The sequence below is a fragment of the Homo sapiens genome, chromosome 15 (genome assembly GCF_000001405.40).
Source record: "Homo sapiens chromosome 15, GRCh38.p14 Primary Assembly".
Lineage (NCBI taxonomy): Eukaryota > Metazoa > Chordata > Mammalia > Primates > Hominidae > Homo > Homo sapiens.
In genome coordinates this window covers 97,061,604-97,074,561 of record NC_000015.10, presented here as the reverse complement: position 1 = coordinate 97,074,561, position 12,958 = coordinate 97,061,604, and the positions used below count along the sequence as shown (strand labels likewise).

General features: G+C 39.7%; 1 long non-coding RNA gene across 8 annotated transcripts in view; it reads left to right on the top strand.

Annotated features, from left to right (window-relative positions):
- LOC105371004 (uncharacterized) overlaps positions 1 to 3,497 on the top strand; it is a 31,628-nt gene extending 28,131 nt beyond the window's left edge. For all 8 annotated transcript variants that reach the window (XR_932683.2, XR_001751692.2, XR_001751691.2 and 5 more), the window contains 3 exons: positions 984 to 1,092; positions 1,786 to 2,062; positions 3,196 to 3,497. This is a non-coding gene — a long non-coding RNA (uncharacterized LOC105371004). The remainder of the gene's footprint in view (positions 1 to 983; positions 1,093 to 1,785; positions 2,063 to 3,195) is intronic.
- Positions 3,498 to 12,958: the final 9,461 nt, after the last annotated feature.

The window sequence follows — 12,958 nt, the reverse complement described above, 5'->3', positions numbered from 1 at the left end:
TGGGTAGGGATACGACAATCAGTTTGGAAGTGCATATTCTCACATTATTACTATTGCAATGAATATTCCTGTAGGTGAAGTTCTGCATGTATCCTTGATTATTTTCTCAGAAAAATTATTGGAATGGTACTTGCTGGACCAAAGTATGCACTTTTTAAGGCTTTGAAGTAGTAAGCTTTCGCAGAAATATTGACTGCAGATTATACTACTCTCCGGAAATTAGCTTTGCAACATAGGTGGGTATGTCAATGGATAAGAGGCAGGAAAGAGGGCTGCTGTATGTACTCATAGGTAACTGCCTCTCACATTTGGAGAACTCAGCTTAGGTTGTGATTCTAAAAGTGCACTTGGGAATCTAAGAGAGAATGAGGTAAAGGGAAGAGAAAGAACCTGCTCTCACATTTGTTTACTGAAGACAAATTGCCAAAGTACTACAATTAGAAGATACCCTGCTCCCTAAAAATTATTACCCCCCAAAGTCTCTACAACCTAATTAAAATGTAAGGTTTGTTTTTTGTTTTTTTGAGATGGAGTCCCACTCTATTGCCCAGGCTGGAGTGCAATGGTGCAATCTCGGCTCACTGCAACCTCTGCTTCCTGGGTTCAAGTAATTCTCCTGCCTCAGCCTCCCAAGTAACTAGGATTATAGGCATGCACCACCGTGCCTGGCTAATTTTTGTATTTTTAGTAGAGAGAGGGTTTCACCATATTGGTCAGGCTCGTCTTGAACTCCTGACCTCAGGTGATCCACCTGCCTCAGCCTCCCAAAGTGCCAGGATTACAGGCTTAAGCCATTGCACCTGGCCTCAAATGAAAGTTATTATTGGTCAATTAAAAATAAAATTAACTTTAAAAAAAGATAAGCAGAATTCATGTGTGAATCTGACCTGAAATCAGGCTTCCTGAACTGGGGCATTGATTCAAACTACTTTCTCTTTCCTTTCTTTTTTTTTTTTTTTTTTCTTCTTTCTTTTTAAATTTAGGAACCTAAGACCAGTTTGCTACAAGAATACAATTGGTATTCCCCACAGTCACCCTCACAAGGGACACTTACAAAGCACACTCCAATCTCAGCCATTACTGACTGACAAGGTAAGAATTTTATATTTTACATCGCTTCATATCAAGAAATTCTTCAAAATGATAACTGATGCAGTTAAGCTTCCCAGAAAATGAACAGTTTGGAGGATTAGGCTAGAAAACCTGGTCACCTTTTGAAAATCTCCAGCTAGTAGCCACAAGGGGAATTTTTGAACTGCAAAGGTGAGCTTTGCAGGCCTGCACCTTGACCCCTGTCTCAGTCTGGGGCTCAGGAATTGAAGGCTGTATGATTTTATTTGAAATGTCTACCTGGCATGGAGCAAGGACAACAAAAAAAAAATTGAAAGTGTAAAAAAAGAAAAGCTATTATATCTTACAGCAGTACCTCCTGTAGTAATGAACTTTAAAACCAGTATGTTTAAACGCTTCCACACATAGGCACGCCCTCCCATCCACTTTGCACTACTCATACCTTCACATGCTAAGAAAAGTTACATTTTAAAAGGAGAGAAAGTATATCATAGAGATATACTAATCCTCTAATTCCTTAGAGGAGCGAATAACCTTTTCTCTTGATATAGGAACCAAGCATTGATCTGTCACACTGTTTGTTCTAGCAGAGCTCCCAGAGGCACATTCAGTTTGAAACGTTAAGGCTAGTTCATTAGGCGTCCCTGGCTCCTTTCTCTGAGAGAATCAAGATAACACCGTGGTTAGTTAATGGCTTTCTCTTGTTTCCCCCAGAGCCTGCCTGTCTGAAGCCTGCAGGCCCGAGAAGCTTCTTTCTCCCTTCTCTTGGCTATTAGTCACAGCTGGTAAGGCTCACAGGAACCGAGACTGTTTGAAAACAGTTGGATCACGAAAACGTTTGAGTCTTTCTGCTGCAAGCAACAAACTTGGCCCAGGCTGCCACAAGGAGATGGAGTGGGAGTGGGGGTGGCGATGGGATGCACCAGGAACGAAGGAAGAAAGGGAAATTGCTAACCACCTCACTTCAAAATCTTCTCTGAGGGAGCCCGTGGTAAGCACCCTTGCTGGGAAGGTGGACGGACTAACTTTTAAAATGAAGTGATGTTGCCTCTTGGGGCTAATGTCTTCTGCCCAGCACCCAATGTCCTCACCTGGAACCCCGTATTCTGGAAATGGGGCAGTGGGGGCAGAAGCTAATGGTGAGACCCTAGAATGCAGTGAGCTACCTTCGGCTGCTGCAATTCTCCAAGACCTGCCCACCCCTTTTTCTTCTATACTTACTTTGTACAGAACCAGTGGGGGAGGAAAGAAAAAAAAGAAGTTAGGTATTAGGTATTATAGATAAACTCAAAATCCAAAACCCAACCCATAGACCTCTCTCATGTCCAGGGGTAGAACTGCTGAATGAGAAACATGATGCCCTACAAGTATGACCTGACTTTTAATAGCCCTGTTATCTGGTTGTTCAAGGCACTACCTCACAAAAGCAGCTCCGGGAAAACCAAATCATTTTAGATTCTGCCTCTCATAGGACCTTGGCAAACTACTAACAGGGCCCATATGTCTACCTGTTCCCTGGAGTGGCTGGTGTGCTCCCCTGCAAAGGAGATGCTAAGACGGTCCATGATGCTGTCGGTGATGACAATGATGTCATCACCAGTAACAAATCACGCTTTGTCACTGCCCTGATCTTGAGTCATGAATACTATGGTGGCATTGGGTTTATGAGAACAGGAAACATATATGCTTTGGGGTCAAGTTTAAATACAAGCTGGAAGAGTTTCATTTCCCTTTCAGGGTGCCTACAGGATTCATATTATACTGAGAAATCACAGAGGAAAGTTTTATGAGGGATCAGGTCAAGCCCATGAAAGTAATGGGGCTCTTCACGTCACCTCTTTCGGGGCAGTCTGAAGCTGGTTCCATATCTGGCTTGGATTTTTCAGATAATAACCTTGCCTCTTCTTAAATGGTTTGAGAAAATGTAGGTTCTTCCTCTGAATTTGGAACATGCCAATGACTTACCAGACATGACAAATACAGGAGGGTATACAGATTTCTAGATTCTAACTTGTTGAAAGATAAAACAAAAAGCCACTCAAACACACTTTCATTCTTTTTCCAAAAATGGAAATATGTGTGTCACATTTCTAATTTACAAGGTCTATTGCAATTATGTTTTAGGCTATTATCCTGGTTCAAATGTCACAGATAGAAGATAATAAAAACAAGAAGAAATAAAATTCAAGATCCATTAGAACACTTCTGGATTGTCCATTACAGCATGTATTACCCAACAGAAAGATGATCACTAATAGATGACAAGCTATTTAATTTTATGTTTACTTTTGGAAGGATGCAGGTACTGTGCAGGGTTTCTACAACACATCAGCATTGCTTACACCAGTACTTCAAATATGAGTTATTTAATCACCCAAGTTAAATGAAAATAACCAAATGATTAAATAAAATCAAGTCATACTTCATGTGAAGACTTTACTTCGGCTTATAATTTGGGAGACTTTCCCTAACGTTGCCATGTTCCACATTAATGTATTGCATAATATTGGCCAGGCGTGGTGGCTCACGCCTGTAATCCCAGCACTTTGGGCAGCTGAGGCGGGCAGATCACAAGGTCAGGAGTTTGAGACCATCCTGCCTAACATGGTGAAACCCCGTCTCTACTAAAAATACAAAAAAAATTAGGCGTGGTGGCCAGCGCCTGTAGTCTCAGCTACTCAGGAGGCTGAGGCAGGAGAATGGCGTGAACCTGGGAGGCGGGGCTTGCAGTGAGCCAAGATCGCACCACTGCACTCCAGCCTGAGCGAGAGAGCGAGACTCCATCTAAATATATATATATACACACACATACATACACATATATACACATATATACATATATATACACATATATGTATATACACACACACATATATACACATACATATATATGTATCTATACACATACATATATATACATATACACATATATATACATATATATATTGCATAATGTTATCTGACAACCTATTCTGTGGGGGAATGTTTCTATGAGTATGCATGAAGTTACATTAGTGTTGTTCATTTATTCATCAGGCACCAATTACAACTGCATTATTTAATGCAACTCATTCTCAGCACTTTTGGTCCTGGTAACTTTATCCTTATTCTCTTCTTTCTGCATCACTCCTTCTTCAGTGTGTATTCTTCCTCACATTCTCTGCACAGTAATTGTCCATGGTCTCAGTCATTGGTTCTATTGATCTGTATTTTCCTCCCCAGAGACAAAAAGCACTATGTCCATTCACAAAGGCTACATCAGATTCCGTTCCACTTTGCCTTCATTGAACACTTACTATATTCATAGCATGTCTTTTTCTGGTCACTGCAGGAAATATAAAGATAAATAAGTCTCAATGCCTGCTGTCTTGGCAGATGAAATGATAATAATGATATAATAACTGAAAACACTTATTTAGCACTAATTACAGGCCATTCTAAGTGCTCCATACACATGAACTCATTTAATCTTTAAGGAATCCTTTGACAGAGTCACTATCATTATCCTCATTGTGCAGAGAAGGAAACAAAGACATAAGAGAGGTTGGGTTATTGCTCAGTGTCGTACAAGGATAAAATGACCATGGTGCAAAGGGAAATTGAAAAGTTGTATGCAGAAGACACAAACAAAAAGATCATGGAGAATCAACTGATGGGGCAGGGTAGGGGAGGAGACCATAGGCCATATTTCCTAAAAAGACAACCTATGAACAAAAATTTTACAGTAAAATTTAAAGACTTGTTATGTTCTTAGAACTTACAATGAATATTTTGTTTCACATAATTCCAACCAAATCCCCATTTCACCAGTGAGAAATTAGAAACTTAGAAAATGGGTTTGCTAGCCAGGCATGGTGGCTCATGCCTGTAATCCCAGCACTTCGGGACGCTGAGGCGGACAGATCACCTAAAGTCAGGAGTTTGAGACCAGCCTGGCCAACATGGCGAAACCCCATCTCTACTAAAAATACAAAAAAAATAGCTAGGCGTGGTGGTGGTCGCCTGTAATCCCAGCTACTCGGGAGGCTGAGGCAAGAGTATCGCTTGAACCTGGGAGTTGGAGGTTGCAGTGAGCCGAGATTGCAGCATTGCACTCCAGCCTGGGTGACAGAACAGGACACTGTCTCAAAAAAAAAAAGAAAAAAGAAAAAAGAAAATAGGTTTGCTAATGTTAAAATGCAATACCAGAGTTTAAACCTAGGGCAGTCTTAACCCAACATCCATGTTTTTAGCCACTCTACTAAACTGCTTGTATCTCCAAGGTAGATGGTAAAGGATGAGTTAAATTTTGAAAGCCAGAATTAGGAGGAGAGGATAATATAAGTGAAGAAGTATGAGTATAAAATCAATGAGGAGGTTTGCCAGAAATAGAGAAAGGGTGAGTTTACCTATTCATGCTGCAGCAAGAATGCATGACACATACATGACAGATAGGAGGCACACAGATGGACTTTTACAGTCTCTGGGGAGGTACGATAGTCCATGAGACACTGACACCTGGTGTAATGTGGCAAGAGTGAGCCTGAGATGCTTGTGTAGAGAAATAGGGAAACAGATAAGAAAAGAAAGATGGGCTGGGCGTGGTGGTTCACTCCTGTAATTCCAGAACTTTGGAAGGCCAAGGTGGGCAGATCACCTGAGGTCAGGAGGAGTTCGAGACCAGCCTGGACAACATGGTGAAACCCTGTCTCTAATAAAAATACAAAAATTAGTCAGGCATGGTAGCATGCCGCTATAATCCCAGTTACTCGAGAAGCTGAGGCACGAGAATCGCTTGAAACTGGGAGGCGGAGGTTGCAGTGAGCTGAGATCTCGCCATTGTACTCCAACCTGGGCAACAGAGCGAGACAAAGAAAAGAAAAGAAAAGGGAAGAAAAGGGAGGGGAAAAAGAAAAGAAAAGAGAGGAAGGAAGGAAGGAAGGGAAAAGAGAGAGAAAGAAGAAAGAAAAAGAGAGAAAGAAGAGAAAGAAAAAAAGAAAGAAAAAGAAAGAAAAAAGAAAGAAAAAGAAAGAGAAAGAAAGAAAGAAAAGAAAAAGAAAAAGAGAGAGAAGGATATATCATAATATCACAACGGGCCTTAAATGCCAAGCTAAGACATTTTAACTGACTATGTCATGCAGTGAGCAGCTACTTTCTATTATTTAGAAGAATGCATGATAGGAATTATGGTTTAGTAGCACTAATTAGACAATGAGATATATTGGGGGAAGTAACAGAAGGAGCATTTTTGAAGTCCTTAAAAATAACTTAAAAAAATCTATGGGTATTTGAATACCAATGGGGACTGTGATAATCAAAAAGAGGGGATAAATCCAAAAGTGACTATTGAAATAGAATACATATTTCTGATGTTGATGGGCTTAAAGGAAGGACTGAACAATGATTGCCAAGTTTCCACACTGATTGACTCGTAAAACAATGGTGTGGTGCCTACAGCAAAGGTCAAGAAAGCATGACGTCGCCAGGCGTGGTAGCTCACGCCTGTAATCCCAGCACTTTGGGAGGCTGAGGTGGGCAGATCACCTGAGGTCAGGAGTTTGAGACCATCCTAGCTAACAACCCCATCTCTACTAAAGTACAAAAAATTAGCTGGGCGTTGTGGCACGCCTGTAGTCCCAGCTACTCGGGAGGCTGAGGCAGGAGAATCGCTTGAACCCGGGAGGTGGAGGTTACAGTGAGCCGAGATCGCTCCACTGCACTCCAGCCTGGGTGACAGAGCGAGACTCCGTCAAAGAAAAAAAAAAAGAAAGAAGGCAGGGAGGGAGGGAGGGAGGAAGGGTGAGTGGGAGGGAGGGAGGGAGGAAGGAAGGAAGGAAGGAAGGAAAGAAGGAATCGTGATGCCTACTTAATGTTATGCTCAAAAAGATGAGTTTGAATTTTGAAGTACTTGATTTGAGACACCCACCCAGCATTCCACTGGAGCAGTCCAGCAGGCACTTAAAATGTGGGTCTGTGCTCATGGAAGAAGTTGGAATGGGAAACTTAAATTTTAAAATAAACTTTAAAAAATTGTTTTAGATTTGCAGAAAATTGTGAAGATACTATGAAAGGTTTCCATATACCCTGCACCCAGTTCTATTATTAACATCTTGCATAACTATGGTACATTTTTTTAAATTGATGAGCCAATAATTATATGTTCTTATTCACTAAAGTCCATAATTCATTCAGATTTCCTTAGTTCTTACTTAATGTCCTTTTTCTGTTCCAGGATCTCATGCAGGATACTGCATTACGATCAGTTGTCATGTCCCCTTAGGCTCATTTTGACTGTTAGAGATTCTTAGACTTTCACTGTTTTTTTATGACATTGACTAATTAAGGAGGACTGGTTAGGAATTTTGTAGAAAGTCAGTCTTTTGGGATTTGTCTGAAGTTTTTCTCATGGTTAGACTGGGATTATGTGTCTTTGGAAGGAAGACCACAAAGGTAAAATGTCATTCTCATCACATCAAGGGTATATATTATCAATATGACTGATCATATTGATGTTAACGTTCATCATTGTGTGTAGAGCTGGTTTGTTTCTTTAGTTGCTCAGTTTTGTTTCTTAGCACTTTCTTACCTTCTGCCACTGCAAGATGCTTCAGGATCATCTTGCATATTTCTTGCCCTGGGCTTAGAATCAGTCCTTTCTCTGAGGATCCCTGGTTCCTTTTTATCTGGGCACTAGATGTGGCCATTGCCACTGGAATGGCCTTGCTTCTAAGTCCTCCTAGATAACAGAGCAAGGAAATATGTGTGTGTATACTAACCCAAGTACACATACAGATCTATAAATATTTTATATGTAACCATCTGTGTCTATATTAAGTAAACATGACTTTATACTGATGTGTCCAATTCTAATTCATGATCACGTGGGTCATCCTAGCTTCCTCTCCTTGCTTATCTGTAAAGTCCCACTCTAACAGGAGAAATCTGGCTGTCACCATTGCTATTCATTTACTTAATTGCCCAACATCAGCAGACATTTTTCGTGGTATTAGAATTGTTAGTCGACACCTCAGTGAAACCGCCTTCTCACTGAAGCACAGGGCTTATGTACACTTTCTTTTCACTTTAGTTTCATGGACTCTGCTCATTTCCAAAGTACATAGGTCAGCCTCTCCTCCCCATCCCCAACCAGAATACATTTTGAGAAGCTTAATTTGCACAAAAATGATGGCAAATAACAAGAGTTTAGATGAATTTGATGAAGGAGTACAGGACCAAAGGCACATTTTGAGGAAATGCTGTAGTTTTTTGAAAGGGTAGGAGAAGATGGAACAAGTGACAAATGATAGTTAAAAAAATAAAGAAAGAAAGAAATAGGAGGAGAATGAAGAGGGGACAGTGGTACAGCAGAAACTGGTAGGAAGTTTTACAGAAGAAAGGCTGGTTAGTTGGATCATCAGGAGCATAAAGTTGGACACAGGTTCTCACATCTATGGCCAGACATGAGCTTCCTACGTGAGACCATTTCGTTTTTACAAATGTCCACCAAAGACACTCCCTATTTTGGGTTCCTGTTGTATATTCTCAAGTAATGTCTTCATTTCACCCCCAAATAAACTTCTCCCCCCATTCTCTTCCTCCTCCTCGTCCGTCTCCACTTATTTTCTTCCTCCTCTCCTCTTTCAGTCATCACGTTTTTCTAGCATCACCCAGTCTAGTTTACCTAGATTTTCAAGACTTGATCTTCCATTCATTATTCTTCAAATAAAATGATCAAATAGAATTTCCTTCCAAGAGCCTCTTGATCCTGTATTCTCCAGAAGTAGTGAGATGTTCCCTGTGGAAACTCCCATCATATTTTACTTCCCCTGCTACACCAGTGCTGTTTGTTAACTTCTCTATCTTTTGCGAGCCTGTCAACTGCATAAGAAGAAGACCATGTTTACTTCAGTCACCATTGAATATGCCAGTAGAGTATATGACATATGGTAAGCACTTGATAAATAGTTGGTACATAAACACACCCACAATAAGAACCCTTTGCCCTTGCCATGTCAGTCTGACCCACAAATGATATATCTGTGGTCATCTTTGAGACCTATTTATTTAATTATCCTTTTTTCTCATCATCATCAACCAGAACCTACCCATCCTTCAGCTTTTCAATGATCCCTTTCACTTCCCAATTTGTAAAATATTCATGGTTATTCAGTTGCTCATTTTGCTTTACCATGATTTAATTTTTTCATGAGTCCTTGTTTATGACATCAGCAAAGGATAAAATCTATATTTAACAGTAGAAAACATTTATTGAACACCAACACTATATATGTAGGAAGACTTGTTCTTTATCATTTAGAGACTTGTTATGTGGCTATGTTAACAGGGACATGGAATGATGAGGGAGTACTTGAAAAGTAACATAGGGGAAAGCATGTGGCAGAATACAGACTTGCTTAGTAATTGCAAATGGAAAATAAAGCCCAACTTTGGGTAAAAATTGTCAGGAAAGGTAAGAGAAAGTTACTGAGTCATGGGAACTTTTTGGTGGTGGAACAAATACAGCATCCCTTGGAGATGTTGCAGGTTTGGTTCTCTAATAAAGCTAATATCACAATAAAGCAAGTCACATGACTGTTGGTTTCCCAGTGCATATAAAAGTTATATTTAAACTTTTTTTAAACACTGTAGGTCTATTAAGTATGTGATAGCATTATGTCTATAAAAAAGTACATACCTTAATTAAAAATACTTTATTGCTAAAACATACTAATGATCATCTGAGCCTTTGGCAAATTATAATCTTTTTGCTAGAAGAGGGTTTCCTTTGATGTTGATGGCTATCGATTATCAGGGTAGTGGTTGCTGAAGGTAATATGGCTGTGGTAATTCCTTAAGACAACAATTAAAATTGCCCCACTGATTGACTCTTCTGTTCATGAGAGATTTCTCTGCAGTATGTGATACTGTTTAATAGCATTTTACCCACAGTAGAACTTCTTTCAAAACCAGAGCCAACCGCTCAAAGCCTGCCACTGCCATATCAACTAAATTTATATAATATTCTAAATCACTGGTTGTCGTTTCAACAATGTTCACAACGTCTTCACCAGGAGAACATTCCATCTCCAGAAACCACTTTCTTTGCTCACCCATAAGAAGCAACTCCTCATCCATTCAAGTTTTAGAATGAGAATGCAGCAAATCTGTCACATCTTCAGCCTTCACATCTTCACATCTAATTCCCACTCTCTTGCTATTTCCACCACATCTTCAGTTACTTCCTCCACTAAAGTCTTTAACCCTTCAAAGTCATCCATGAGTGTTGAAATCAACTTCTTCCAAACTCCTGTTAATGTTGACATTTTGACTTCCTCTCATGAATCACAAATGTTCTTATTGGCATCTACAATGATGAATCCTTTTCCAGAAGATTTTCCATTTACTTTGCCCAGATCCATCAAAGGAATCACTATCTGTGGCAGCTGTAGGCTTACAGAAGGTATTTTTTAAATAATATGAATTGAAAGTTGAAATTACTGCTCGATCCATGGGATGTAGAATGAATGTTAGACTAGCAGGCATGACAACAACATTAATCTCCAAGTATATCTTCATCAAAGCTCTAAGGTGACCAGGTACATTGTCAATGAGCAGGAAAATTTTGAAAGGAATTTTTTTTTTTTTCTGAAGACTAGGTCTTAACAGTGGACTTAAAATATTCAATAAACCATGCTATAAACAGATTTACTGTCACCCAGTCCTTGTTTTTTTCATTTAGAGGGCATAGGCAGAGTAGTCTTAGCATAATTATTCATGGCTCTAGCATTTTCTGCATGGTAAATGAGCATCGGTTTCAACTTAAAGTCACTAGCTGCATTCGCTCCTCACATGAGAGTCAGCCTGTCTTTTGAAGCTTTGAAGCCAGGAATTGACTTCTCTTCTGTAGCTAATGAAGTCCCAGATCAGTAGTCTTAGCTAGATCTTCTAGATAACTTACTTAAGTGTCTACATCAGCACTTGCTGCTTCGCCTTGCACTTTTATGTTATGGAGATGGCTTGTTTCCTTAAACCTCATGAACCAAGCTCTGCTATCTGCAAACTTTTCTTCTACAGCCTTCTTACCTCTCTCCAGCCTTCATAAAATTAAAGAGAGATAGAGTCTTTCTCTGAATTAGGCTTTGGCATAAGGGAATGTTCTGACTAGTTTAATCTTCTATCTATGCCACTGAAACTTTCTCCATATCAGCAATAAGTCTTTTTCACTTGTTTTCATTTTTGTGTTCACCAGAGTAGCACTTTTAATTTTCTTCGGGACCGTTTTCTTCACATTCACAATGTGGCTAACTGGCACAAAAGGCCTAGCTTTCAGCCTATTTTGGCTTTCAACATGACTTCTTCACTAATCTTATTCATTTCTAGTGTTTTATTTAAAAGGTCTGTGACTCTTCACTTGAACACTTAGAGCCATTGTAGGGTTATTAACTGTCCTCATTTCTATCTTGTTGTGTCTGAGAGAACAGAGAGACCCAAGAAGTGGGAGACAGACAGGAAAACAGTCTATTGCTGGAACACTCAGAACACACACATTTATTAAGTTTGCTGCCTTCTATGGGTGCAGTTGGTGGTGCTGCAAAACAGCTGCAACAGTAGCAGTAAAACTCACTAACTGCAGATCATCATAACATATATAATAATAAAGAAAAAATTTAAATATTATAATTACCAAAATCTGACACAGAGACATTAAGCGAGCACATGATATTGGAAAAATGGTGTCAATAGACTTGTTCCATGCACATTTGCCACAAACTTTCAATATGTAAAGCATGCAATATCTATGAAGTACAATAAAACAAAGTGCAATAAAACAAAATATGCCCATACAGGAAACTGACTGCTCTTTCTTATCTGTTTTGCTGGTCTCCTTCAGAGTCAGAGTGGTTAAAAAATAAAACAAAACAAAACAAACAAACAAAAAAAGGTTGTCAGAAGGTCTGACTCCAAGTGAGCCTTGGGTCATGGTTGACTAGTTGTATAACCCTGGGCAAGTCACATAACTCCACCAAGCATCAGTTACTCCTCACTCAGATGGTGTCTTAATGTTAGCCTACTTCTCAGGGACTGTATTAAAGTGCAGATGCCAGTGAACGGTTTTCAAGGGGAGTGGGTAATGGTGAAAGAAGAATCAACACAGATTCCTAGATTTCGAGGCCTCAACCTACATGCAAAGAGTACTGTCATTGACTGAGATGAGAAAACCAGAAGAGGAGGTGGTTTAGGTGTGGAGGGAGGAGAAAGTTGGGGAGCCAGTGAATCACAAGTGCCCTTCTCAACATGCTCCATTTGTGATACCCATTAGATAGCGGGCTTCCTCCTGCTTAATTCAGATCTCTGCTTCCTGACACATTAACCCAAATGCCATGCTCAGTCACTTTCTCTTTCTAGTTTCACTTCAATTTTTTCTTAGAATATATCCCTTTTTGAAATTACGTTAGATTTCTATTTGTTTGTTTGTTTTTTATGTCCCCCATTAGAATGTGCATACTACAAGGACAAGTATTTTGTGTTGTTCACTATAAAGCCTCTAATGCCCGGTACAGTGGATGGCAGATTGTGGATATTTAACAACGAATGAAAAAAATAAATGAAGGAATGAGTCTAAGGAGAGATGTGGATAGAACTTTTGGATATAGGAGTTTGGGGATCATGGGTCAGATCAAAACTTAAAAAAAAAAAAACTTACTGGTTTCCTGCAATCAAATATGATATAAAGTCATGAGAATATGGATGGATAAGAAAAAGAGGAGAAAATGCCAGTTAAGGAAGGTTGAGAGACTTGCCGACACCAAAGAACATACGTGGAGGAGACAGGTTTAAGTTTAGTTGCTTGTTGCCTTCTGAGCTGAGGCTTTGAAGTGCTGCTCTGTCCTGCCTCCTCCAATGGGGG